Source organism: Homo sapiens, chromosome 7 (assembly GCF_000001405.40).
Source record: "Homo sapiens chromosome 7, GRCh38.p14 Primary Assembly".
Classification (NCBI taxonomy): Eukaryota; Metazoa; Chordata; class Mammalia; order Primates; family Hominidae; genus Homo; species Homo sapiens.
Genome location: NC_000007.14, coordinates 149128379 through 149155710, shown reverse-complemented (window position 1 = coordinate 149155710; position 27332 = coordinate 149128379). Strand labels below are relative to the sequence as shown.

The following is a 27332-nucleotide window of genomic DNA, read 5'->3' as shown; positions in this document are numbered from 1 at the left end:
AAATATATATATATATATATATATATAACCAAATATAATTCCTCTGCTTCAAACCCTCCAATTTCTCCTCATTACACCTTAGTTAAAAATCCAAATTCCTTTCCTTGGTCTTAAATGCCCTACACATCAGTGATTCACAACCCTAGTCATATATTAGAATCATCTATGGAGGTTTTTAAAAAATTATTCATGCTTAAGCTCCATCCTGGACCTATTAGGTCAGAATCTGGATGTGATGCTCACCAAAATTTTAAAAGCCTACCAGGTGATTCTTCTTTTTTGTCGTTGTTGGAGACGGAGTCTCACTCTGTTGCCCAGGCTGGAGTGCAGTGGCGCAATCTCAGCTCACTGCAACCTCTGTCTCCCGGGTTCAAGCGATTCTCCTGCCTCAGCTTCCCAAGTAGCTGGGATTAAAGGCGCCCACCACCAAGCCCAGCTAATTTTTGTATGTTTAATAGAGATGGGGTTTCGCCTTGTTGGCCAGGCCAGTCTTGAACTCCTGAACTTGTGATCTGCCTTTCTCGGCCTCCCAAAGTGCTGGGTTTACAGGTGTGAGCCACCACACCTGGCCAATTTTTGTATTTTAAGTAGAGACGGGGTTTCACCATGTTGGCCAGGCTGGTCTTGAACTCCTGACCTCAGGAGATCCACCTGCCTCAGCCTCCCAAAATGCTGGGATTACAGGTGTGAGTCATCTCGCCAGGCCTTTTTTTTTTTTTTTTAGAAGGAGTTTTGCTCTTGTTGCCCAGCCTGGCATGCAGTGGCATGATCTCGACTCACTGCAACCTCCAACTCCTGGGTTCAAGCTATTCTCCAGCCTCAGCCTCCCGAGTGGCTAGGATTATAGGCATGTGCTACCACACCCGGCTAATTTTTGTATTTTTAGTAGAGACAGGGTTTCCTCACGTTGGCCAGGATGGTCTCAAACTCCTGACCTCAGGTATCTGCCCATCTCAGCCTCCCAAAGTGCTGGGATGAGCCACCGCGCCCAGCCTCAAATTGACTGATTTAAAAGAATATTTATGTAGTCTCCTCCCCAAGAATCTGGCACACAAGTTAACGAAGAAAGAAGCGGCTCATGGGTAATGGGTAGGAGAAACCAAAAGAGAAAAAAAATCCATCTACCAGATAGCCAACTTTGGTCCAGCAAGAGGTTTCCAATCTGAATCTTGGCACTCTAAATGGGTACTAAATTGAACATAAAATGTTTCCCAAATAGACAAACATAAAACACCTTCATGATTCTTTCAGACTGAGATATTTTAAGAAACTTTAAAAGGAAATAAAAAATCTAAGTAACTGAATGACCAAGACTACTACTAATGTAAGTTCTAGTGGTACCACTTTACATCTAGAAATGAAGGTATTACCTTTGGGATATCTCCCTTAATACCTGGAGGGAGCCGCAGGATCCAGAAGTTCCTGTTGCGCAGCAGGTTCTCCAAGTTCTCCAGCCGCCTCTGCAGCAGCCCGTACTCCTGCAGCAGGGTTCCCAGCACGGCCCACTTGCCCTCCAGCTGGTTCCCAAGCTCGGTAACTGTCTTTTCACAGCTGGCTAGTTTCTTCTCTGCTGTCCCTGTCCGACCTTCCAGGTGTAGGAGTCGCCGGCTGTGGATCTCCACCTTCCTCTCTATAGCCTGCACGGCGGCCACCACTGTCCACAGAGAGATAGCTGCTGTCTGCAGGTGTGCCTCATTTGCTGCTGGGGGTGTAGGAAGAGGAAGGGGCTGCAGGGATGTAAGGCACTCGGAGTCCCATTCAGATGTCTGCATGCAGTGGAAAGATGGAACAAGACATTGAGTGTTAGAAGGAACCCTAACTCCAAACTAAAATCAGATAAGGACTGCTTAACTGTCCAGCAGAGATTAATTTGAATATAGTTCTAGTACTGCCTGCGTATGCCTCATCTTTCTGGAGCTCACTGGCATCAACAGCCAAGAGACCTGATTTGGTGGTTCTGGGATAGATTGGGTAAGACAGTGAATTAATGAAATTGGCTCTTGAACTAGTCTGGTATATTTCCTCCGCTATAAGGCCCAGCTTAGGTTGCTGCAGCATCCTCTATCTCTGGAAAAGGCAAATGTGCACAAGGATCCTTTCCAGGCCTCACTGAACCTAGTGCCCTCTGATAAATCCATTATAGACTTATGCTCTAGACCTGTCAATCACCCTGTTTACAAACTACAACCACACCATTCAGTAATGGCTGAATAAGCTAAGAATCTTGAATCTGAAGAAAACATGAGAGCTGTTTTCAGATAATGAGGGTTACAAAACAGAAGGCAGAACAGCCTTGTTTCATCTTACACTATGTTACTCCAGAGGGCAGAACTAGAACCAACATAACGAAATTTTCAGACAGGCAAACTTTGGCCTACAATAAATACATTTTTTTCTTTTTAGAGACGGGGTCTTGGTGTCTCATTATGTTGCCTAGGCTGGCTCACTCAAGCAATCCTCCTGCCTCAACCTCCTAAGTAGCTGGGGCTACAGGTGTGTGCCATTGTGACCCACTAATAAATAATTGTTGAACTATTCAAAAAAAGAAATTCTTGCCGGTGCGGTGGCTCATGCCTGTAATCCCAGCACTTTGGGAGGCCGAGGTGGGCAGATCACCTGAGCTTGGGAGTGCGAGTCCAGCCTGGCCAACATGGTGAAATCCCGTCTCTACTAAAAGTACAAAAATTAGCCGGGTGATGGTGCACATCTGTAACACCAGCTACTCGGGAGGCTGAGACAGGAGAATCAGCTTGAACCTGAGAAGTGGAGGTTACAGTGAGCCAAGATTATGCCACTGCACTGCAGCATGGGCAACAGAGGGAGACTGTGTCTCAAAAAAAAAAAAAAAAAGAGGCTGGGCACGGTGGGTGGCTCACACCTGTAATCCCAGTACTTTGAGAGGCCGATCACCTGAGGTCGGGAGTTCGAGACCTGCCTGACCAACGTGGAGAAATCCCATCTCTACTAAAGATACAAAATTAGCCGGCCATCGTGGCAGATGCCTGTAATCTCAGCTACTCAGAGGCTGAGGCAGGACAATCGCTTGAACCCAGGAGACCGAGGTTTCAGTGAGCCGAGATCGCATCATTGCATTCCAGCCTGGGCAATAAGAGCAAAACTCCGTCTCAGAAAAAAAAAAAAAAAGAAATCTAGGCCAGGCGCGGTGGCTCACGCCTGCAATCCTAACACTTTGGGAGGCCGAGGGGGTGGATCACGAGGTCAGGAGATCGAGACCATCCTGGCTAACACGGTGAAACCCTGTCTCTACTAAAAATAGAAAAAATTAGCCAGGCGTGGTGGCGGGCGCCTGTAGTCTCAGCTACTTCGGAGGCTGAGGCAGCAGAATGGCGTGAACCCAGGAGGCGGAGCTTACAGCAACCCAACTTCGCGCCACTGCACTCCAGCCTGGGTGACAGAGTGAAACTCCGTCTCAAAAAAAAAAAAAAAGAAATCTTTAAGGGAAATCACATTATTAATTAATTAATTATTTATTTCTTGAGACAGAGTCTCGCTCTGTCGCCCAGGCTGGAGTACAGTGGTGCCATCTCAGCTTACTGCAACCTCCGCTGCCTGGGTTCAAGCGATTCTCCTGCCTCAGTCTCCCGAGTAGCTGGGACTACAGGAGCGTGCCACCATGCTCAGCTAATTTTTTGTATTTTTAGTAGAGATGGGGTTTCACCATGTTAGCCTGACCTCGTGATCCGCCCTCCTCGGCCTCCCAAAGTGTTGGCATTACGGGCGTGAGCCACCGTGCCCGGCCACATTATTTTATATATGATTTTAAAGTCTAAGATGGATAGTTTAAATGTTATCCACTTATTGCTTGAACCCAGGAGGCAGAGGTTACAGTGAGCCAAGATTCTGCTACTGTACTCCAGCCTACGCGACAGAACGAGATTCAGTCTCAAAAAAAAAAAAAGAAAAAAAAAGAAAGAAATTTTTGTTGAATGAATGAATAAATAAATAGGCTTGCATGCAAACCAGCCACCTCAGGATGTCTTCTATAGCTTAATTTTTTTTTTATTTTTTTATTTTTAGAGACAGGGTCACCGAGGCTGGAGTGCACTGACATGACCATAGCTCCTTGTAACCTATAACTCCTGGGTTATTGATCTTTCCAAGAAAATAAAAGGCTGCTCCAAAATAATTTACTTTGAAACAAAGAGTAGTATAAAAGGAAAAAATTCCCACAACAAATAAGTTGGACTAGGATGATGTATACAAAGCCTTCTAACTCTATGAACCTGATAAGCCACTCTCTGACGACAACCTCCCATCTTTCCAACTCACCCACTACTTTATTCTCATTTCACCTAGTCCTTTGACCATTCCATTTGCTCCTGGTATCTGCCCGTTCCTGGCTTTTTTTCTCTAATTGATCACATCAGTCACTTCCAACTCCCCTTCTCTCATGTCTTTCTGCCTCACCTGCTCAGCTAACCTCCGGCCTTGAATCAGTCCAATCATTCTTTCTCCATTCCTGTAAGCAGATTAGTAAGCGTGCCTAGAGGAAATCACCAGGTAAACTGCTGTCACCACATACCAATGGTTTCTAAGCTTAGTGGGGATCTCAACACTGACTTGTGCCCTCCATGCCGCTTGTCCCATTCCATAAAGTGGCTACTACAAAGCCTCAGCACAGTCCTTCAGCTTTTAGTACAGTTTGTCCTCAAACTAACATGAATAAGAATCAGCTGGAGGGGCCAGGCACAGTGGCTCATGCCTGTAATCCCAGCACTTTGCAAGGCTGAGACAGGTGGATCACCTGAGGTCAGGAGTTTGAGACCAGCCTGACCAGCATGGTGAAACCCTATCTCTACTAAAAAATACAAAAATTAGCTGGGTGTGGTGGCAAGCCATGTAATCCCAGCTACTCGGGAGACTGAGGCTAGAGAATCACTTGAACCCAGGAGGCGGAAGTTGCAGTGAGCTGAAATCGTGCCACTGCACTCCAGCATGGTGACAGAGCAAGACTCTGTCTAGGGCAGGAGGGGAGGCGGGGGGGCGCGGGAGGCGGGGAAGAATCACCTGGAGATCTTGTCAAAGTACAGATTTTTATTCAGTAGGTCTGTAAGGAAAACTGAGATTCTGTTGGGTTTTGTTTTTGTTTTTTTGGGATGAGGTCTCACTGTCACCCAGGCTGGAGTGCAGTGGTGTAATCTCAGCTTACCGCAACCTCCATCTCATGGGCTCAAGCGATTCTCCCATCTCAGCCTCCCGAGTAGCCGGGACCACAGGCACACACCACCATGCCCTGCTAATTTTTGTATTTTTGGTAGAGACAGGGTTTCACCATATTGCCTAGGCTGGTCTCAAACTACTCAGCTCAAGTGATCCACCTGCCTCAGCCTCCCAAAGTGCTGGGATTACAGGTGTGAGCCATGGTACACAGCCTGAGATTTTGTATTTTTAACAAATTCCCAGGTGATGCTGACACTGAGTAGTAAGACTTGTCTGCTGCAGCCCCCACTCTCAGAAGATGACATGTCCTCTTGCTTTGAGATGGAAATTAATCAGACCTAAATTCATTCAACTTTCTCTTCATACTCCTTGCTTCAAACTTATCAGTAACCGAATCTAAGTTTTCTTCTTTACTTCCTAAGGAAGTTGCATCCTATTTAAATCTTAACTCTCCACATTTGCTTCACTTATGCCAACCCCTTCCACCTTTTTGGGTAGGTTGTTCCTTTCTTAGTGTCAATCTGTCTCCTGATTCTTCTCCATAGGGTGGACTGGCACTGTTCAATACAGTAGCCACTACCTACATGTGGCCACTGAGCACCTGAAATGTGGTTAAATTGAGATGTGCTATGAGTATAAAATACACGAGACTTTGAAGACTTAGTATGAAAAAAATATTTGTTTGTTTGCTTGAGACAGGGTTTCACTTTGTTGCCCAGGTTGGAGGGCAGTGGCAGGATCACAGCTCACTGCAGCCTCCACCTCCCTGGCTCAAACACCTCCCACCTCCTGAGTAGCTGGGAGTACAAGTGCATGCCACCACGCCTGGCTAATTTAAAAAAAAAAATTTTTTTTGTAGAGATGGGGTCTTCCTATGTTGCCCAGGCTGGTCTTCAACTCCTGGGCTAAAGCTGTCTTCCCACGGCAGCCTCCTGAAGTGCTTGGGATAACAGGCTTGAGCCACCACACCCGGCCATTAATGTTTTAAATCGATTACATGAGGCCGGGCGCGGTGGCTCACGCCTGTAATCCCAGCACTTTGGATCCCAGCGGGCGGATCACGAGGTCAGGAGATTGAGACCATCCCGGCAAACACGGTGAAACCCCCCTCTCTACTAAAAATACAAAAGGACCCGGGCGTAGTGGCACGCGCCTGTAGTCCCAGCTACTCGGGAGGCTGAGGCAGGAGAATCGCTTGAACCGGCAAGGCAGAAGTTGCAGTGAGCCCAGATGGCGCCACTGCACTCCAGCCTGAGGGACAGAGTGAGACTCCACCTCAAAAAATAAATAAATAAATAAATTGATGACATGTTGAAATAATATTTTGCATATATTGAGTTAGATATATAATTAAAATTAATTTCATCTATTTATTTTTTAACTTCTCAAAAATTTTTTTTATTTTAGAGACGCGGTGTGGACTGCCTCGAACTCCTGGACTCAAGTGATTCTTCCGCCTCAGCCCCCGGCCTAGCTGGGACTACAGGCGTGCACAACACAGCGCCTGGCTTTTTACTTTTTAAACGTGACGCCTAGAGAATTTAAGCAGGGGTGTCCAATCTTTTGGCTTCCCTGGGCCACACTGGAAGAACTGTCTTGGGTCACACATAAAATACTGATCATGATAGCTGATGAGCTAAAAAAAAAAAAAAAAAAAAAAAAAAAAGACAAAGAAAAAGGTCCGTGCATAAATCTCATGATGTTCTAGGAAAGTTTACGAATTTGTGTTGGGCCGCATTTAAAGCAGTCCTAGTCCGCATGCGGCCTGGGGGCCGCGGGTTGGACAAGCTTGATTTAGAGTTTTGTATGCGGCTTCCCTTATATTTCTATTAGCCAGGACTGGCACAACACAGGATCATCGCTACCATCCCACCTATACACAAAAAAAAAGGTTGGAAAAAAGAAAAACAGGTCCAAGAGTGGAGGTGGCACTTCCCTCTGCTCTACCCCCTACCCATCGCTGCTCTTCCTCCTTTTCCCAGTCACCCCTCATGTGCCAGGGTGGCTCCTGACCCAGTACAATTGCTCTCCTAGAGGTGACCAAAGACCTCTTGGGTGGCAAATGCGATCAGTGCTTTCCCCGCGGCCTGACCGTCCCCTTCTCATTCTACGGGGCTGCGTGCAGGCGCGGCCCGGTCGCCTCGGTCGCCCTGGCAACTGGCCGCTGCCGGCCCCCGCAGGCCTTGGCAAACACCCGCGAATGAACCGCCACGCACGCGAGGCCACTCCAGCCTCCGGGTCCGCACCATTCATTCGGCAGCTATTTCGGGAGGGCCTCCCGCGTGTCCCGAGTCCGGTGCCGGGAGCCCAGGCGTCACGCAGCGCGGCGGGAATGCGCCTCCGCACACTTAAATGCCGCCCGCGCCACCGCTCAGATTGCTGGTGACGAACGCTCCCGCGGCCGCGAGAATGGCTGACGGCTCCCCAGCCCAACCCCGCTGCGCGTCTGGCGGGCAGGCGTGGGGCTGACACGCAGCAGGCACCCCCTCGACTTCAACCCAACTGCAGGGCCCCGGGTCTCATAGCTGCCTGCGAGTGCCCCTCAGACCTGCGGCCCAGCCTGGTGTCCCCGGGTGGGCGGTTTCACACCCACCCGCTAAGTCCCCTCACGCGAGGCTGCAGCCGCCAAGCACGGGCGACAGGCGACGTGGCCGGCGGGACCCGAGAACGGCGCCTATGCCTGGCAGCTCCCTGCCCGCCCGCCTTCCTCCCTCGGGGTCTGGGTCTCGGGGGCTCACAACACTCGCGCGCGGCCGCCCTTACCGGGGCCGGGGCCGCCTCAGCCATGGCCCTGCGCTGTCTAGCCCGGGCCTCGGAAGTCGCCGCCGCTGCCGCCGCTGCCACCGCGCCCGGCTCCAAGCAGGCCCGGCCGCCGGGTCCTCTCCACAGGCGGCGCCGACCCGGCCCTGCCTTCCCCGCACGGACGGGACTCACGCGGCCGTCGGGGCTCGGGACGCGCAGGAACGCGGCGGAGGCGCGGTGCAGCAGGCGGCGGATCAAGCTGGGGTCGCGAGGCCGACTCCGCCGCACTCCACCCGCAGCGGCCCCTCAGCTGGCGCTTTGTGGGCAGCGAGTGCACCGGGAACCGCGCGGGCCTAGACGCGCCGCAGGCTCGCGCTGCCCAGCCACCGCGGCCAGCGCGCCCCCTGCCGGCCCCTGCGGCCAGCGCCCCCCGCGTCGCCTCCGCCCCTCCCCCCCAGCTCTTGGGCTTCGGTGTGGGGAGGGTTGTTATTTGGGGCCCACGTGTGTTCCGCTTTCTCACATTCCCACGAGAAGGTTCAGCTCACCGCAGTTTAGGACCCAGCCGCAAAGCCGGGCTCATTCTGGGGAGTGATTTTCTTCACGGAGGCTCGATACGCAGGCGCCGTCTGCAGGCAACAGCTTCTGCTGAAGGGCAGCCGTATTTAGAACAGCGGAAATGTGCAGGGTGAGAGTAAGGGGGACACGGCTGAAGGGAGCCTATGGGTGGAATGAGTGACGGAGAGGCACAATTTTGGAATGAAGAAGATATAGATCATTTGCGGAAATTACAAATGTGGTTGCCAAGGTGAGGCGGTTCAGGTCCCACGCGGCCTGTGTTGGGATCAATAATATTTTAAGGTCTCCTTCACATCTCGGATTATTGACTCTCCGGGGCCTGGTCTGGAAATAGGATTCTTAATTTTTGTTTATTTATTTATTTAGAGACGGAGTCTCACTCCGTCGCCCAGGCTGGAGTGCAGTGGCGGGATCTCGGCTCACTGCAACCGCCTTCCGGGTTCAACCGATTCTCCTGCCTTTGCCTCCCAAGTAGCTGGGATTACAGGCATGTACCACCATGCCCAGCTAATTTTTTTTTTTTTAAGTGGAGACGGGGTTTCACCATGTTGGCCAGGCTGGTCTGAAACTCCTGACCTCAAATGATCCACCCGCCTTGGCCTCCCAAAGTGCTAGGATTACAAGCGTGAGCCATTGCGCCCGGCCTTATTTATTGATTTATTTAGAGACAGTCTCCCTCTGTCGTCCAGGCTGGAGTGCAAGTGGCACAAACAAGGCTCACTGCAGCCTTAAACTGCTGGGCTCAAACGATCCTTCCCCTCAGCCTGCCCGAGCATCTTGGACTACAGGCGCAGCTACCAAGCCCGGCTAATGTTTTATTTATTTGTATTTATTTATTTACTTATTTATTTTTCTGTAGAGACAGGGTCTCGCTATGTTGCCCAAGCTGGAGGAAGTGGAATTCCTGAGAGCAGCAGAGATCGAGCTTGGGGTTACGGTTTGCTGCGTCTGAGCAAAAGGACCTGCGAGAACAGGCCGAGCGCAGTGGCTCACGCCTGTAATTCCAGCACTTTGGGAGGCCGAGGCGGGCAGATCACCTGAGTTCCAGACCAGCCTGGCCAACATGGTGAAACCCCGTCTCTACTAAAAAATACAAAAATTAGCCGGGCGTGGTGTCGTGCACCTGATATTCCAGCTGCTCCGGAGGCTGAGGCAAGAGAATCGCTGGAACCCAGGAGGCGGAGGTTGCAGTGAGCAGAGATGGCAGCACTGCACTCCACCCTGGGCGACAGAGCTAGACTCCATCTTAAAAAAAAAAAAAAAAAAAAAGGACCTGCGAGAACAAAGTGTTTTCTGGTGAGGTTGTGTTTTAAGTCAACAGAGTGTGTGTAACAGCAGTAGGTTCCTTGCCCAATGCACATAGCAAGTCTATATGCAGAGACACCAGGTTGCAGCAGAGAAAGAGGTCTAATCATAGGGCCACCTAAGGAGGAGACAGGAAGAAGCCTCACATCCATCTCTGCTAGGAATTTGGGAATTTGGGGTTAGAGTTTGTAAGGGTAATGGAGTTGACTGATTGGTGGGAGAGTGCTGGTGAAATCGTGGTACAAGGAGATGAAGAAACTACATTCTCATGCTCATCCCATTCCTCTGTGGGGGGTCTTCAAACTGGTTGAACTCAACTGTTTCACCGGAACTCGTGGTCTGAAAAACATCTTAAGCGATCCTTAAACAAAAGCCTTATGATTCTAATGTCAGAGATCCTGTCTACAGGAACAACAGGGATGCAAATCAATTCTTAGTCTGATGTCTGAAATCCTATCTATAGGAACAATAGAGATGCAAATGTCAGTATCTAGTGCCTTGTGACTATTAGCAACAAGGAAGTAGGCCGAAGTGCAGCCTGATTAATGCTTAATTATAACTATATTTCTGTCCAGAACCTGCATGCAATTTTTGTGAACCCTGTTGGGGCGGTTTCATGTGTGTGGTGATAGGATAAGCACATGACCCTGGTTTTCCAGGAAGTCTTCATTTCAAACATGTATGAATCAAACCCTGCTAAACCTGTATTTCAACACATGAATCAAGTCAATGCCCATAACAGTATAACTATCTGTAAATCACAAAAGTATGAGAACTATCCTGTTGGGGCAACTGCTCTTGAGCAGACTAAGTTACTTTTCGCCTGTGGCTACATATGCAGTCCGTAATTTGGGATTTACCTGAATATACATATTTGTCAGATGGTGAATGCTTAATAATGAAAATTGCCATTCTCTGACTCACAATATGAGTAGATTACAAAAAAATAATAATCTGAATTTTCTTGGAAAGAAAATTCTGTTGTATAATTTTATTATTTAAAATGTAGTAGCCGAGAAGCCGGGCACGGTGACTCACGCCTATAATCCCAGCACTTTGGGAGGCCGAGGTGGGTGGATCGCCTAAGGTCAGGAGTTGGAGACCAGCCTGAACAACACGGTGAAACCCCATCTCTACTAAAAATAGAAAAACTAGCCGGGCGTGGTCGTGGGTGCCTATAATCCTAGCTACTCAGGAGGCTGAGGTAGGAGAATCACTTGAACCTAGGAGGAGGAGGTTGCAGTGAGCGGAGATTGCACCATTGCACTCCAGCCTGGGAAACAAGAGTGAAACTCCATCTCAAAAAAGAAAAAAAAAAATGTAGTAGCCGAGCACAGTGGGAGGCCGAGGTGGGTAGATTGTTGGAGCCCAAGAATTCAAGGCCAGTCAGGGCAACCTGGTGGGACCCTGTCTCCATAAAAAAATACAAAAATTAGCCTGAAATGGTAATGCACACCTGTCGACCCAGTTACTCGGGAGGCTGAGGTAAGATCACTTGAGCCAGGGAGGTTGAAGCTGCAGTGAGCTGTAATAATACCACTGCACTCCAGCCTGGGCGACAGACTGACATCCCATCTCCAAAAAAAAAGTAGTAAAGTTTTCAAGTTTGATGTTATAAGGCAAGAACAACAATTTCTGTCAGATGCTCCTATGGCCATTTAACAGGGACATTTGTATTACTAAATAAGACTTCCAACTGAGCTCCATAGAAAGCAAGGCTACCTCTCTGCTTTAATATGGTAATATTACCACCAACTTATTAAATGTTCCTTCCTTGAATAGGAATATATTAAGACAAGAAATTCTTCCTATTTAATTCTTGGCCTTAAAAATTCTTTGGATGGTACTGGCATTTCATTAAGCAATTTCACTGACTGAAGCTTTTTGTGTACTGTTTAAAGAAGATGCACAATATTTTCAGAAGCAGATGTAAGGTTGTTGTACTAACTTATTTTTAATTTATAATATTTTTGTCTGCTCTTGCTGCTATACATAATCACTAGAGAAAAAAATTGTCCTAAAAGTTTGGATCTAGAAATGTGACTATGAAACAATTTAATTGGCTTTTTTGGGGGGTTGTTTGTTTGTTTTTTGAGATGGAGTTTTTACTCTTGTTGCCCAGACTAGAGTGGAATGGCGCAATCTCTGCTCACTGGAACCTCTGCCTCCCGGGTTCAAGTGATTCTCCTGCCTCAGCCTCCCAAGTAGCTGGGATTACAGGCATGCGCCACCATGGGGGCTAATTTTGTATTTTAAGTAGAGACGAGGTATCACCATGTTGGCCAGGCTGGTCTCGAACTACTGACCTCAGGTGATCTGCCCACCTCGGCCTCCCAGAGTGCTGGGATTACAGGCGTGAGCCACCGCACCCTGCCAATTGGTTTTTGAGTTAACAAAATAATCCCAGTTTCCATCTGCATCTTGACTTTCCCTGCATATGCACACCAATTTCAGCATCTTCCTTTGCACAGAATCAAGGACAGATTTTTTTCAGCATGTATGATGTAAAAAATACACTGATGGCACATCAATTTATTCAGCAAGTTCCAACAAACTCTTTTGTCTTCAAGCAACCATTGGTTATTGGTAAATCTTGCTACATTGGTAATATTCTCTGAAAATTACAAAATTAAAGCCTTTATCCGATCAGCTTTAGAAGGACGTAATAATTGCACCACCTTGCTTCAGTATCTTGTAAAACAAGACAGTTTCAAAATCTACAATGTTCCTGCTTGCCGCCAGTAATTTTCTTTTCTTTTCTTTTTTGAGATGGAGTCTCGCTCTGGCCACCGCGCCTGGCCAGTAATTGTCTATTACATCATTAATACATTAAGCTAGATGTGGGAGAATCACCTGAGCCTGGGAGGTTGAGTTTGCAGGGAGCCGAGATCATGCCACTATACTAATCAATCATCGATCAATAAAATAACATACATGAAGCTATACCTGTTTTCTGAATGTAAAACTGAAGATGGGAACAAACTATAGTGTGCTTGTGCTCATAGCCTTTACTGTATTTTTCCATGGGAAATTCGACGTTCGTGCGTTTCCGTTTACTGATTTTACATTCCACAAATTTTTCTCAAAGTCAGATTCACTGAGACCTAGGAATTTTTCATTAAGTAGGGAAAATGGAAACCCAGTTGAATTAATAATTGCTCCTCTGTATGGTCAAACATAAAAAGTTAAGCGTGATTCTTCATATCCAAATATCTGGTTTTTTGTTTGTTTGTTTGTTTTTAGACGGAGTCTCGCTCTGTTGCCCAGGCTGGAGTGCAGTGGCGCGATCTTGGCTCACTGCAAGCTCCGCCTCCAGGCTTCACGCCATTCTCCTGCCTCAGCCTCCCGAGTAGCTGGGACTACAGGTGCCTGCCACCACGCCCGGCTAATTTTTTGTATTTTTAGTAGAGACGGGGTTTCACCGTGTTAGCCAGGATGGTCTCGATCTCCTGACCTCGTGATCCGCCCGCCTCGGCCTCCCAAAGTGCTGGGATTACAGGCGTGAGCCACCACTCCCAGCCCCAAATATCTTATATACCAGATATATACAGTATCTGGTACATATACAGATATATACAGTATATATCTGGTATATAAGACATTTTCAATATTTTATTGCAGCATTTTTAATATTTCATTAACCTTTTGGTGCACAGCAGAAAATGAATCAGGAAAAATATTTTAGGAATGTTTCCTAAAATAAATCAATATTTAGAATAAGATCTTGGGGAAATCTCAACCGAAAATGGTTACCAGTCTATAGCAATTATCTCTACAAGCTCTAAAAACATTAGTCCAGGCACGGTGACTCACCTCTGTAATCTCAACACTTTGGGAGGTCGAGGTGGGAGGATTGCTTGAACCCAGGAGTTTGGAGCTGTAGTAAGCCATGACTGTGCCACTGCATTCCAGCCTGAGTGGCAAAGCGAGACCCTGTCTTAAACAAAAACAGCCTTCATGGATGCCAACCTATGATAACTTGTCTTACTAAAAGCATGCTCTAAAGTCTGTGGATTAGGGCCGGGCGCAGTGGCTCACGCCTGTAATCCCAGCATTTTGAGAGGCTGAGGTGGGTGGATCACCTGATGTCAGGAGTTCAAGACCAGCCTGGCCAACATGGTGAAACCCCATCTCTACAAAAATACAAAAATTAGGCCGGGCACAGTGGCTCATGCCTGTAATCCCAGCACTTTGGGAGGCCGAGGCAGGTGGATCACGAGGTCAAGAGATCCAGACCATCCTGGCTAACACGGTGAAACCCCGTCTCTACTAAAAATACAAAAAATTAGCCAGGCGTGGTGGCGGGCGCCTGTAGTCCCAGCTACTCAGGAGGCTGAGGCAGGAGAATGGCATTAACTCGGGAGGCGGAGCTTGCAGTGAGCCAAGTTCATGCCACTGCACTCCAGCCTGGGCTACAGAGTGAGACTCCGTCTCAAAAAAAAAAAAAAAAGAAAAAAAAGAAAAGTAGCTGTAATCCTAGCTACTCGGGAGGCTGAGATGGAAGAATCGCTTGAACCCAGGAGGCAGAGGTTGCAGTGAGCCAAGATTGTGCCATTGCATTCCAGCCTGGGCCACAAGAGCGAAACTCTGTCTCAAAAAAAAAAAAAAAAGTCTGTGGATTAGAGAGAACAGTTGTATTTGGAGTGCCCCATTTTAATCTAAACTTTCTCTTTTTCTTCATACTCTCTTTTAAAAAAATTTTTAATCATGACTCAAAGATGATTTAAAGATGATTTATCATATATGTGTTGTAGATGAGATTCTCCCTCCTTGTGAAATTTTGAGGTGACCAAGTTGACACTGCTTTTTTCTCCCTAATGTGTGAAAAATTACCAAATAGGGATTTTTTTTTTTTTTTTTTTTTTTTGAGACAGGCTGTGCCTCTGTCGCGCAGGCTGGAGTGCAGTGGCACAAGCATGACTCACTGCAGCCTTGACCTCCTTGGCTTAAGCAATTCTCCCGTCTCAGCCTCCCAAGTAGCTGAGACTACAGGCCCACCCTGCTACACCTGGCTAACTTTTAAATTTTTGGTAGAGAGAAGGTCTTGCTATGTTGCCCAAGCTGGTCTCCAACTCTTGGGCTCAAGGGATGCTCCTGCCTTGACTTCCCAAAGTGCTGGGATTCCTGGTGTGAGCTACCACGCACAGCCAGGGATCTTTTTTTTTTTGAAAGGACAGAATGGAACAAAATTGTTAAACATTCGTTTCTAAAGGGTGTTTTATGGGCCTGGCGTGGTGGCTCACGCCTGTAATCCCAACACTTTGGGAGGCCGAGTCGGGTGGATCACCCGAGGTCAGGAGTTTGAGACCAGCCTGGCCAACATGATGAAACCCCGTCTCTACTAAAAATACAAAAGTTAGCCGGGCATAGTGGCACTTGCCTGTAATCCCAGCTACTAGGGGGCTGAGGCAGGAGGATCGCTTGAACCTGGAAGGCAGAGATTACAGTGAGCTGAGATGGTGCCATTGCACACCAGCCTGAGGAACAGAGCGAGACTCTGTCTCAAAAAAAAAAGTATTTTATGTACTGTTATGAATGCAACTGTGCAAAATAATTCCATAGTAACTAGAATTATTATGTCTAATGTTAATTCTCTTTCCCTATGGTAGAATTATATTTTTATAAACATCTGTAGGCTCAAAAAGAACATAATGTTCTTTCTAAAGTTATCTAGATAACACGCTCTAAATATACTGTCAATGTATGTAACTATTTGAAAGTTCCTGTTTATTACATAAAATAACATCTTTCGTAATCCTCAATAATTATTATAGCATTTTACTTTTGCAGTATTAAATATATATTCATATATACTTCAACTGACTGCTAGGATTTGAACATTAAAGCACATCATCAGATTTTACTTTTATTATTTTTAAATTTTTATTTTATTTTATTATTTTTTTCTTTGAGATGGATTTCGCTCTGTTGCCCAGGCTGGAGTGCAGTGGCGCAATCTCGGCTCACTGCCTCCTGGGTTCACGCCATTCTCCTGTCTCAGCCTCCTGAGTAGAGCTGGGACCACAGGTGCCCGCCACCACGCCCGGCTAATTTTTTGTATTTTTAGTAGAGACAGGGTTTCACCGTGTTAGCCAGGATGGTCTCGATCTCCTGACCTCGTGATCCCTCCATCTCAGCCTCCCAAAGTGCTGGGATTACAGGCGTGAGCCACCACGCCCGGCCAAATTTTTATTTATTTATTTATCTGTTGCCAGGCTGGAGTGCAGTGGCTGATCTCGCTCACTGCAACCTCCGCCTCCCGGGTTCAAGTGATTTTCCTGCCACAGCCTCCCAAGTAGCTAGGACTACAGGCATGTGCCACTACGCCCAGCTAATCTTTGTATTTTTAGTGGAGACGGAGTTTCACCATGTTGGCCAGGATGGTCTCGAACTCCTGACGTCATGATGTGCCCGCCTCAGCCTCCCAAAGTGCTGGGATTACAGGTGTGAGCCACCGCGCCCGGCACATCATTAGATTTAATACTTTAAGTTACATTTGGAATTTAGAATACCTAAATTTAAAAGTAGGTATTCACACAGTAACAATAGACCAGGTACACTGGTTTATGCCTATAATCCCAGCACTTTAGGAGGCCCAGATGAGAGAATCACTTGAGCCTAGGAGTCTAAGACCAGCTTAGCAACATTGTGAGACCCCATCTTTACAAAAAAAATTAAAACTTAAAAAAAAAAAATTGGCTGGGCGCAGTGGCTTGTGCCTATAATCCCAGCACTTTAGGAGGCCGAGGTGGGCGGATCACGAGGAGGTCAAGAAATCAAGACCATCTGGTCAACATGGTGAAGCCCCGTCTCTACTAAAAATCCAAAATTAGCTGGGCGTGGTGGCGTGCTCCTGTAGTCCCAGCTACTCTGGAGGCTGAGGCAGGAGAATTGCTGGAACCTGGGAGGCAGAGGTTGCAGTGAGTCAAGATGCGTCACTGTACTCCAGCCTGGTGACAGAACAAGACTCCGTCTCAAAAAAAAAAAAAATTAGCTGGGCATAGTGGCATGCACCTGTAGTCCCAGCTACTCAGGAGGCTGAGATGAGAGGATCAATTGAACCCCAGAGGTTGAGGCTGCAGTGAGCACATTTATTATTACTTTTCTGTGCTTTGCAGAATATTTGAAATATACAGGGTTGTATAAAGACAAAGGCCACATATAATCATACAATCCAGAGACAATCACTCGAAGCATTTTGGTTCTTATCTTTGTGAGCTTCTTTTATATAAATATATATATGTATACACACACACAATATTTATTTATTTTCTTAATACAGTTGAAACTGTAAATACTGTTTTTTGATTTGTTTTGTTTTGTTTTTGAGATGGAGTTTCACTGTGTCACCCAGGCTGGAGTGCAGTGGCACGATCTCGGCTCATTGCAACCTCTGCCTCCTGGATTGTAGCGATTCTCCTGCCTTAGCTTCCTGAGAGTAGCTGGATACAGGCGTGCACCACCACGCCCAGATAATTTTTGTATTTTTAGTAGAGATGGTATTTCGCCATGTTGTCCAGGCTGGTCTCGAACTCCTGATCTCAGGTGATCCACCCACCTCGGCCTCCCAAAGTGCTGGAATTACAGGCGTGAGCCACTGCACCCAGCCATAAATACTGTTTTGAAACCTGCCTTTGTTATTTAATATACTTGAATATCTTGCATAGCATTAAATTTTTTTCTTTTTTTTTTTCTTTTTTTTTTTGAGACAGAGTTTCGCTCTTATTGCCTAGGCTGGAGTGCAATGGCCTGATCTCAGCTCATCACAACCTCTGCCTCCCGGGTTCAAGCTATTCTCCTGCCTCAGCCTCCCGAGTAGCTGGGATCACAGGCGTGCGCCACCATGCGCAACTAATTTTTTGTATTTTTAGTAGAGATGGGGTTTCTCTATATTGGTCAGGGTGGTCTTGAACTCCCGACCTCAGGTGATCCGCCCGCCTCGGCCTTCCAAAGTGCTGGGATTGCAGGCGTGAGCCACTGCGCCCAGCCAAATATTTTTCGAAAACATAAATTTAATGTCTACATATTTCATCTTATGGATGCTTCCGACTTATTTATACGTTTAGGTTCCAGTTTTTCACAACTAAATACATGTAAGTGATTGTGCTTGCCCATAAATGCAGAAAAATGATTTGACAAAACAAATATTCACATTTACTCACAATAAAAACTCTCACAAAACTAGGGATGAAAGGGAATTAGCACAACATGATAAAAAGTATCTACATGCCAGGCACAGTGGCTCACGCCTGTAATCCCAACAGTTTGGGAGGCCAAGGCAGGTGGATCACGAGGTCAGGAGTTCAAGACCAGCCTGACCAATATGGTGAAAACCCGTCTCTACTAAAAATACAAAAATTAGCCGGACATGGTGGTGCACGCATGTTATCCCAGCTACTCAGGAGGCTGAGGCGGGAGAATTGCTTGAACCAGGGAGGCAGAGGTTGCAGTGAGCCGAGATCACGCCACTGCACTCCAGCCTGCAGGAAAGAGCAAGACTCTGTGTTAAAAGAAAAGTATGCAGTTAACGTCATACTCAACAGTGAGACTAAATGGCTTCCCCTCAGATTGAGAAAGGCAAGGATGTCTACTCTCAACACTCCTCCAAAGCTACAGTAATCATGAGCATGTCATATTGGGGAAGGGATAGACACATGGATCAATAAAACAAGAATCTAAAAATAAACCCACACAAATTTGGACGACTGACTTTTTACAGAGGTGTAAGAGCAATTCAATGGGCCGGGCATGGTGGCTCACACCTGTAATCCCAGCACTTTGGGAGGCTGAGGTGGGAGGATCACCTGAGGTCAGGAGTTCAAGACCAGCTTGGCTAACATGGTGAAACCCCGTCTCTGCTAAAAATACAAAAATTAGCCAGGCATGCTGGTGGGTGCCTGTAATCCCAGCTACTTGGGAGGCTGAGGCAAGAGAATCACTTGAACCCAGAAAGTGAAGGTTGTGGTGAGCCCAGACCATGCCATTGCACTCCATCCTGGGCCACAAGAGCAAAACTCGGTCTCAAAAAAAAAAAAAAAAGGCCCAGCGCGGTGGCTCACGCCTGTAATCGCAGCATTTTGGGAGGCCAAGGCAGGTGGATCACGAGGTCAGGAGATCGAGACCAGCCTGGCCAACACAGTGAAATCCTGTCTCTACTAAAAATATTAAAAAATTAGCTGGGTGTGGTGGCGGGCGCCTGTAATCCCAGCTACATGGGAGGCTGAGACAGGAGAATCCCTTGAACCCAGGAGGCAGAGGTTGCAGTAAGCCTAGATCATGCCACTGCACTCCAACCTGGGTGACAGTGTAAGACTCCATCTCAAAAAAGAAAAAAAAAGCACTTAAATGAAGATAGAAAAAGTTTTTCAACAAATTGTGTCTCAACTATTGGACTTTCATATGCAAAAAAATGAACCTGAACCCAACTCTTACACTTTTTACACAAAGTAAATAAAAACAGATAACAGATATAAATTTAAACTGGGAAGTGAGGAGCACCTCTGCCCGGCCGCCAACCCGTCTGGGAAGTGAGGCGCACCTCTGCCTGGCAGCTGCACTGTCTAAAAAGTGAGGAGTGCCTCTGCTCGGCCGCCCCACAGTCTGGGAAGTGAGGAGCGCCTCTGCCTGGCCGCTCTGCAACCCTCTAAGTGTGAGGTGGCAGCCTTGAGTGTGATTTTTACGCCCTCCCCAAGTTTGCATTTTTGACATTAAATTTTACTTTTAAATTAAAAGCTTTAAATAGGGGAATATAAATAAACATATAAATAAATAAATAAATAAATTTAAAACATAAAACTAGGAAATTTCTAGAACAAAACCAAATATTTATGACCTTGAATTAGGCAGAGTTCTTACACATGATACCAAAACCCCAATCCACAAAAAGCAACAAAGTACAAATTGGACTTAATCAAAATTAAAGCTTTATTATTATTATTATTGTTATTAGTTTTTGGAGACGTAGTCTCCGTCTCCCAGGCTGGAGTGCAATGGCATGATCTTGGCTCACTGCAACGTCCGCCTCCTGGGGTCAAGTGATTCTCATGCTCAGCCTCTTGAGTAGCTGGGACTACAGGCGCGCACCACCATGCCCAGCTAATTTTTGAATTTTTAGTGGAGACTGGGATTCACCATGTTGGCCAGGCTGATCTTCAACTATTGCTTACCTCAAGTGATCTGTCTGCTTCAGCCTCCCAAAGTGCTGGGATTACAGGTGTGAGCTACCGCACCCGGACTATTATTATTATTCTAATAGTTTTTGGGGAACAGGTAGTGTTTAGCGACATGGATAAGTTCTCCAGGTGTGATATCTGGGATTTGGTGCATCCATCACTCAAGCAGTGTACGCAGCAGCATCCAGTGTGTAGTCTTCTATCCCTCACCCCTGCTCCCAGTCTTCCCAAGTCCCCATAGTCCACTATATCATTCTTATGACTTTGCGTCCTCATAGCTTAGCTCCCACTTAAAATTAAAGCTTTCTTTTTTTCTTTCTTTCTTTTTTTTTTTTTTTTTTTTTTGAGACAGAGTCTTGCTCTGTCACCCAGGCTGGAGTGCAGTGGCGCGATCTCGGCACACTGCAAGCTCCACCTCCCAGGTTCATGCCATTCTCCTGCCTCAGCCTACTAAGTAGCTGGGACTACGGGCACCTGCCACGACGCCCGGCTATTTTTTTGGTATTTTTAGTAGAGACGGGGTTTCACCGTGTTGGCCAGGATAAAATATTTACTAATCATATATCCAACAAAGGACTTACATTCAGAATAAATTAAGAACTGTCAAAACTGAATAAGAAAATAAACCACTTTCAAATGCCTGCCTTCTTCAACTAGGCTTTGTTAATGTGGTTATTGCAATCAGCATTATCTCTAACAGTCTTTAACATAATAAATGAGGTCAGGTGGTAATCCCAGCATTTTGGGAGGCCGAGCTGGGCAGGTCACCTGAGCCCAGGGATTCCAGACCAGCCTGGCCAACATGATGAAACCCCTTCTCTACTAAAAATACAAAAATTAGCTGGGCGTGGTGGTGTGTGCCTGTAGTCCCAGCTGCTTGGGAGGCTGAGGCATGAGAATTGCTTGAACCAGGGAGGCAGAGGTTGCGGTGAGCCAAGATTGCGCCACTGCATTCCCGCCTGGGCGACAGAGCCAGACTCTGTCCAAAAACATAAAAATAAAAGTGCTGAAGGAAAAAAAACAGCCTGGGCAACAGAGTGAGACTCCATCTCTAAACAAATAATAAATGATTAGGTGTTACTCTTTTACCTATTATCTAATGTCTAGTTAATATATCTTTAAAAGTACTCAGAGTTGAAAAAATAAACTTTAAGTTGTACAGAGAGATCATTAAGAATATAATGGATGGGATGCTGTGGCTCACATCTGTAGTCCCCAAACTTTGAAAGGCTGAGGTGGGAGCATCTTGAGCCCAGAGGGTGGAGGCTGCAGTGAGCTATTATCACACCACTGCACTCCAGCCTGGGCAACAGAATGAGATCTCATATCAAAAAGACAAAAACGGGCTGAGCGTGGTGGCTCACACCTGTAATCCTAGCACTTTGGGAGGCCGGTGGGGAGGGGGGTTGGATTACCTGACATCAGGAGTTCAAGACCAGCCTGGCCAACATGGTGAAACCCCGTCTCTACTAAAAATCCAAAAAAAACAAAAAAACAAAAAAATTAGCTGGGCGTGGTGGCGGGTGCCTGTAATCCCAGCTACTTGGGAGGCTGAGGCAGGAGAATTGCTTGAACCTGGGAGGCAGAGGTTGCAGTGAGCCGAGATCACACCATTGCACTCCACCCTGGGCAACAAGAGCGAAACTCCGTCTCAAAAAAAAAAAAAAAAAGACAAAAACAGCATGGCCAAGCACGGTGGCTCATGCCTGTAATCCCAGCACTTTGGGAAGCCAAGGCGGGCAGATCACCTGAGGTCAGGAGTTCGAGATCAGCCTGACCAACATGGAGAAACTCCGTCTCTACTAAAAATACAAAATTAGCCGGGCACAGTGGCGCATGCCTGTAATCCCAGCTACTCGGGAGGCTGAGGCAGGAGAATCGCTTGAACGCAGGAGGCAGAGGTTGCGGTGAGCCGAGATCATACCATTGTACTCCAGCTTGCACAAGGGCAAAACTCCGTCTCAAAAAAACAAAAAAAAAAAATCTGAAGGTCACAAAAAACAAATATATATATACATATATATGTGTGTATATATATATACACACATATATATGTATATATATATATATATATATATATTTAAAAAACACAAAAATAACCAAAAGCCAGGTGCAGTGGCTCACCCCTGTAATCCCAGAACTTTGGGAAGCTGGGGCAGGCAGATCACTTTGTCAAAAGCCTTTGAACTGTAGCAACTTCATCTTGAATAGGGGCTGGGTAAAATGAGGCTGGGCTGCATTCCCAGATGGTTAAGGCATTCTAAATCACAGGAAGAGATAGGAAGTCAGCACAACATACAGGTCATAAAGACCATGCTGATGGCCTGGCACAGTGGCTCATGCCTATAATCCCAGCACTTTGGGAGGCTGGGGTGGGCAGATCACTTGAGCCCTGGAGTTCCAGACCAGCCTAGCCAACATGGTGAAACCCTATCTCTACTAAAAATACAAAAGTTATCTGGGTGTGGTGGCAAGCCTATAATCCCAGCTACTTGGAAGGCTAAGGCAGGAGAATCGCCTGAACCAATGAGGCGGAAGTTGCAGTGATCCAAGATTGTGCCACTGCACTCCACCCTGGGCTACAGGGTGAAACTCTATCAAGAAAAAAAAAAAAAGCCTTACTGATAAAACAGGTTGCACTAAAGAAGCCAGCCTAAAACCTACCAAAACCAAGATGGCAATCAGAGTGACCTCTGGTTGTCCTCACCGCTGATATAGGAGTTAAAAAGAAATTATTTAGGCAGATAGTGAGGGTAAGGAAGTCATCGGTAAAGCTTTCCTTTTAATAAAAAGCAGCCCCAAAATCATTTTACTTTCTAACAAGGAGCCTGTAAAAATGAGCTGCAGACATACACAAGCAAGCGGAAGCTTGCACAGGTGAATGCTGGCAGTTGTGTCAATCAGAAAAGGCTACCAGAGACTAGGTGTGTTTAAAATGGCGGCTCCATCTTCTGTTTTTCTTTCCATCTTCTGTTTTTCTTTCCAACCACTTGTGCAGTAGGGAGCACACAACATGGCACTGGCCCAGTGGAAAGCTCATTTGCATTAAGTAGATTAGGGTGGGTGGCCAGCTTCCTCTCATGCTATGTAGACGTCCCACCTGGTCCAACCCATCTCTGGGCCCCTGGTAAATCAGACACCGCCTCCTCAAGCCTGCCTATAAAATCCGGTGCACTCCACTGAGGTCTAGAGGTCCCATACGGGTGCCTCTCTCTCTCGAAAGAGAGAAAGCTGTTCTCTAGGCCGGGCGGGGTGGCTAATGCCTGTATTCCCAGCGCTTTGGGAGGCTGAAGTGGGCAGATCACATGAGGTCAGGAGTTCGAGACCAGCCTGACAAACATGGAGAAACCCCATATCTACTAAAAATACAAAATTAGCAGGGCGTGGTGGCACATGCCTGTAATCTCAGCTACTCGGGAGGCTGAGGCAGGAGAATCAGTTGAACCTGGGAGGTGGAGGTTGCAGTGAGCCAAGATCACAGCATTGCACTACAGCCTGGGGGACAGAGCAAGACTCTGTCTCAAAAAAAAAAAAAAAAAAGAGAGAGAGAATATAAGGAAGTCGGTGGAGTAATAAATTGATATAACCTCTTCTGAGCAACTTAGTAGTGTATCGATTATAAATAAGTAGACCTTTTGATCAAGCAATATTTTTCTAGGAACGTATTCTATAAATATATTTGCAAATGTAAGATTCATCAAAAGCAATACTTGATGCTTTTTGACTATAAACTAAAATTTGACTATAAACAAAACGTCTAGTAGAGGACTGGATGAATAAATTGTGGTAAATTGGTATGCTGCGTAGCTATCAAAGAAGGTGTGAACATATTTAAAATGTCTAAAACTGTTTAAAAGTGTCAAAAGCAAAGAATTTTCCACTAGGATAATAGACTAAGCTAAAACAGGAAACCCTCCCCGCTACTTCAAATTCAATAGAAATGCTAAGTAAAATATATATTTTTAAATGTTTCCAAAGCTGGATTATGGCTGGGGCTTATTACATTGTTCTGCATATGTTTTTTGTTTGTTTGTTTTGTTTTGTTTTTGAGGCAGAGTCTCACTCTTGTTGCCCAGGCTGGAGTGCAGTGGCCCGATCTTGGCTCACTGCAACCAACGCCTCCAAGGTTTAAGCAATTCTCCTGCCTCAGCCTCCCGAGTAGCTGGGACTACAGGCGTCCGCCACCACACCCAGCTAATTTCTGTATTTGTAGTAGAGATGGGGTTTCACCGTATTGGCCAGGATTGTCTCAATCTCCTGATCTCGTGATCCATCAGCCTCTGCCTCCCAAATTGCTGGGATTACAGGTGTGAGCCACCACACCCAGCCTGTTCTAATATGTTAAAAGAATTGCCCATAGTAAAATCTTTCCTTAATAAAAAGTCCATATTTATCAACCTGAGAAAAATGCAATTGAAAAATGGACAAGGAGCAAGAACAAAAACTTAACTAGAAGTTGGCAATTTAGCACGTAATAAGAATTTTTTGTATCATTAGCAACTAGGGAAATCCAAATAAAAACTACATTGAGATACCCCTACACTGAAACAGACCCAATTGCCCTATAGAACTGATGTTTATGGTTTCTTTGAATAAACACAGTAACTGATCCTTTTAGTCTTAAAACTTGAGACAGTTACATTTGTCTTATCTGAGTTCCTTTCTCAGGAAAGCAACCATCAGGCCTCCCAGATAGTATTAACCAGTTGAAACTCACAGGATCACTGAATTTGGACAATGAAAGTCAGACCCCTCACCCATCATGATTGCCTAACCCACCACCTGCTTCCTGTTGACCAAACCCTCTTCCTTACCCCTAACCAATTCATGTTTTTCCACATATGGTTACATTTCCTCCCAGCAATAGAAGCCGCTCATTTTAGCCTGTCAGGGAGATGGATTTGAGACTGATCTCCCATCTCCCATCTCCCATCTCCTCAGCAGTAACACCCAATTAAAGCCTTCTTCGTTGGCAACACTTGTTGTTGTCATGATTGGCTTTCTGAGCCACAAACAGCAGCACCTAGACCAAACCCCTGGTGTTTCAGCAACACCACCATTGATTAGAATGTCTAACGGTTTTTTTAAATGCTAAAAATACCAAATAAAGAACGTGGGCCAACTGAACTCTCATGCGTTCACAAGGGGAACACATAATAGTACAGTCACTCTTAAAAATGGTTTGCTAGTTCCTTGTAAAATTAAATATACATATTTACCGTGACTCAGCAGTCCCACTCCTGGGTATCTACCTTAAAGAAATAAAAATTTATTTTCACACAAAAACCTGTATGCAAATGTTTATAGCAGCTCTATTCAGAATTCCAAAACTTGGAAAAGGCTGGGCACAGTTGCTCATTCCTGTCATCCCAGCACTTTGGGAGGCCAAGGCAGGCGGATCACTTGAGGTTAGGAGTTTGAAACCAGCCTGGCCAACATGGTGAAACCCCTTCTCTACTAAAAATACAAAAATTAGCCAGGTGGGGTGGTGTGCACCTGTAATCCCACCTACTCAGGAGGCTGAGGTGGGGGAGTCGCTTGAACCCCAGAGGTGGAGGTTGCAGTGAGCCGAGATCATGCCACTGCACTCCAGCCTGGGCAACAGAGTGAGACTCCATCTCAAAAATAAATAAATAGGCCGGGTGCAGTGGCTCATGCCTGTAATCTCAGTACTTTGGGAGGCTGAGGCAGGCAGATCACCTGAGGTTGGGAGTTCGAGACCAGCCTGACCAACATGGAGAAACCCCGTCTCTACCAAAAATACAAAATAGCCAGGCGTGGTGGCACATGCCTGTAATCCCAGTTACTAGGGAGGCTGAGGCAGGAGAATCGCTTGAACCTGGGAGGCGGAGGTTGCGGTGAGCTGAGATTACTCCATTGCACTCCAGACTGGGCAACAAGAGCAAAACTCCATCTCAAAAAATAAATAAATAAATAAACAAATAAGTATAAAAAATAATAAAACGGAAAAAATACAAATATCCTTCAATGGATAAATACTCTTCAGTATATCATAACATGGAATACTATCAGCAATTAAAATAAAACTGTTGTAGGCCAGGCGCAGTGGCTCATGCCTGTAATCCCAGCGCTTTGGGAGGCCGAGGTGGGTGGATCACCTGAGGTCAGGAGTTGGAGAACAGCCTGACCAATATGGTGAAACCCTGTGTCTACTAGAAATATAAAAATTACCTGGGTGTGGTGGGATGCACCTGTAGTCCCAGCTACTCGGGAGGCTGAAACAGGAGAATCATTTGAACCTGGGAGGTGGAGGTTGCAGTGAGCCAAGATCGAGCCACTGCACTCTAGCCTGGGCAACAGAGCAAGACTCCGTCTCAAAAAAATAACAATAAAAAATAAATAAAATAAACTGTTTTCACACACAATGATATGGATACCAACTAAATTGTGACCTTTTTTCCTTTCTTGTCCAAATTTCTAACTAAGGGACATAGGAAATCATGCCCTACAAACTATAAAAATCTCACCAGAAGGGTTTTATTTAACCCTATATAACCGCTTAGTTTCCAACCTGACTCTGGCATAACATTGCATGACAAAGAAGGAAATCAAAATATTTTATCCCCAAATATGCTTCTTTGCAGTATATATTATATATTTATATGAAAATATAGGGCCAGGCACAGTGGCTCATGCCTGTAATCCCAGCACTTTGGGAGGCCGAGGTAGGTGGATCACGAGGTCAAGAGTTGAAGACTAGCCTGGCCAACATGGTGAAACCCCATCTCTACTAAGAATACAAAAATTAGCCCAATGTGGTGGCACATACCTGTAATCCCAACTACTTGGGAGGCTGAGGCAGGAGAATCGCTTGAACCTGGGAGGCGGAGGTTGCAGTGAGCCAAGATCACACCACTCTACTCCAGCCTAGGCAACAGAGCAAGACTACGTCTGGAAAAAACCCAACAAACAAACAATATATATATATATATAATTTTATTTTATTTTATTTTATTTTTTTGAGACAGAGTCTCCCTCTGTCTTCCTCTCTCACCCAGGCTGTAGTGTCAGCACAATCTGTGCTCACTGCAACCTTCGCCTCCCAGGCTCAAGTAATCCTCCCACCTCTGCCTCCCAAATAGCTGAGATTAACGTCTTTGCCACTGTGCTGACAAAATCTTGTATTTTCTGTAGAGATGGGGTTTCGCCATGTTGCCCAGGCTGGTCTTCAACTCCTGTGCTCAGGCAATCCTACTGCCTCAGCCTCCCAAAGTGCTGGGATTACAGACGTGAGCTACTGCGCCCGGCCAGAGAATCTAGCACCTTTTAAAGGTTTAAATAGGAAATTTTTGCCATCTAAAGACAGTCACTATGAGACATCCTAAGAATCTTGGT

The 27332-nt window shown here is 46.1% G+C and overlaps 1 protein-coding gene and 1 long non-coding RNA gene across 7 annotated transcripts in view, besides 10 other annotated features; one reads left to right on the top strand and one right to left on the bottom strand.

Moving 5' to 3' along the window:
• The window catches only part of ZNF398 (zinc finger protein 398), a 56635-nt gene that overhangs the window by 27332 nt on the left and 1971 nt on the right, over nt 1-27332 (bottom strand). Inside the window, exons 1-3 of one of the 5 annotated variants that reach the window (XM_011516439.3) lie at nt 7195-7299; nt 4429-4504; nt 1371-1766 (exon numbers count right to left, since the gene is read on the bottom strand). In XM_011516439.3, coding sequence (XP_011514741.1) covers nt 1371-1766; nt 4429-4467 — 435 coding nt within the window. In that variant the 5' untranslated portion in view covers nt 4468-4504; nt 7195-7299. Of the gene's footprint in view, nt 1-1370; nt 1767-4428; nt 4737-7194; nt 7300-7427; nt 8259-26766; nt 26889-27332 lie in introns of those variants that run through there. The other 4 variants (NM_020781.4, XM_011516440.3, NM_170686.3 and 1 more) reach the window with 4 other exon arrangements.
• Nucleotides 7344-7393: a silencer, noted in NCBI's record as "silent region_18750". NCBI's record gives its function as "represses an Ori minimal core promoter by ATAC-STARR-seq in GM12878 lymphoblastoid cells {active_cell/tissue: GM12878}" and the evidence as "EXISTENCE:reporter gene assay evidence [ECO:0000049][PMID:35858748]".
• Nucleotides 7534-7683: a silencer, noted in NCBI's record as "silent region_18749". NCBI's record gives its function as "represses an Ori minimal core promoter by ATAC-STARR-seq in GM12878 lymphoblastoid cells {active_cell/tissue: GM12878}" and the evidence as "EXISTENCE:reporter gene assay evidence [ECO:0000049][PMID:35858748]".
• Nucleotides 7759-8332: an enhancer, noted in NCBI's record as "H3K27ac hESC enhancer chr7:148844471-148845044 (GRCh37/hg19 assembly coordinates)". NCBI's record gives its function as "activates a minimal SCP1, AML or CMV promoter by ChIP-STARR-seq in primed H9 embryonic stem cells {active_cell/tissue: H9 hESC(primed)}" and the evidence as "EXISTENCE:reporter gene assay evidence [ECO:0000049][PMID:30033119]".
• Nucleotides 7759-8453: a biological region, named in NCBI's record as "H3K27ac hESC enhancer GRCh37_chr7:148844471-148845044".
• Nucleotides 7814-8453: a silencer, noted in NCBI's record as "silent region_18748". NCBI's record gives its function as "represses an Ori minimal core promoter by ATAC-STARR-seq in GM12878 lymphoblastoid cells {active_cell/tissue: GM12878}" and the evidence as "EXISTENCE:reporter gene assay evidence [ECO:0000049][PMID:35858748]".
• Nucleotides 7978-8149: a silencer, noted in NCBI's record as "fragment chr7:148844654-148844825 (GRCh37/hg19 assembly coordinates)". NCBI's record gives its function as "represses an EF-1alpha promoter that drives an FKBP-Casp9 reporter gene in an ReSE screen in HepG2 liver carcinoma cells {active_cell/tissue: HepG2}" and the evidence as "EXISTENCE:reporter gene assay evidence [ECO:0000049][PMID:32094911]".
• Nucleotides 8350-12747, top strand: LOC107986856 (uncharacterized). 2 transcript variants are annotated; one of them, XR_001745398.3, is made up of 2 exons: nt 8350-8608; nt 9359-12747. It is a non-coding gene; the product is annotated as an uncharacterized LOC107986856 (long non-coding RNA). The 2 variants fall into 2 exon arrangements; XR_007060581.1 differs by having other exon boundaries at nt 8350-8728.
• Nucleotides 8764-8813: an enhancer, noted in NCBI's record as "active region_26809". NCBI's record gives its function as "activates an Ori minimal core promoter by ATAC-STARR-seq in GM12878 lymphoblastoid cells {active_cell/tissue: GM12878}" and the evidence as "EXISTENCE:reporter gene assay evidence [ECO:0000049][PMID:35858748]".
• Nucleotides 8907-9480: an enhancer, noted in NCBI's record as "H3K27ac-H3K4me1 hESC enhancer chr7:148843323-148843896 (GRCh37/hg19 assembly coordinates)". NCBI's record gives its function as "activates a minimal SCP1, AML or CMV promoter by ChIP-STARR-seq in primed H9 embryonic stem cells {active_cell/tissue: H9 hESC(primed)}" and the evidence as "EXISTENCE:reporter gene assay evidence [ECO:0000049][PMID:30033119]".
• Nucleotides 9481-10054: an enhancer, noted in NCBI's record as "OCT4-NANOG-H3K27ac-H3K4me1 hESC enhancer chr7:148842749-148843322 (GRCh37/hg19 assembly coordinates)". NCBI's record gives its function as "activates a minimal SCP1, AML or CMV promoter by ChIP-STARR-seq in naive and primed H9 embryonic stem cells {active_cell/tissue: H9 hESC(naive and primed)}" and the evidence as "EXISTENCE:reporter gene assay evidence [ECO:0000049][PMID:30033119]".
• Nucleotides 10055-10628: an enhancer, noted in NCBI's record as "OCT4-NANOG-H3K27ac hESC enhancer chr7:148842175-148842748 (GRCh37/hg19 assembly coordinates)". NCBI's record gives its function as "activates a minimal SCP1, AML or CMV promoter by ChIP-STARR-seq in naive and primed H9 embryonic stem cells {active_cell/tissue: H9 hESC(naive and primed)}" and the evidence as "EXISTENCE:reporter gene assay evidence [ECO:0000049][PMID:30033119]".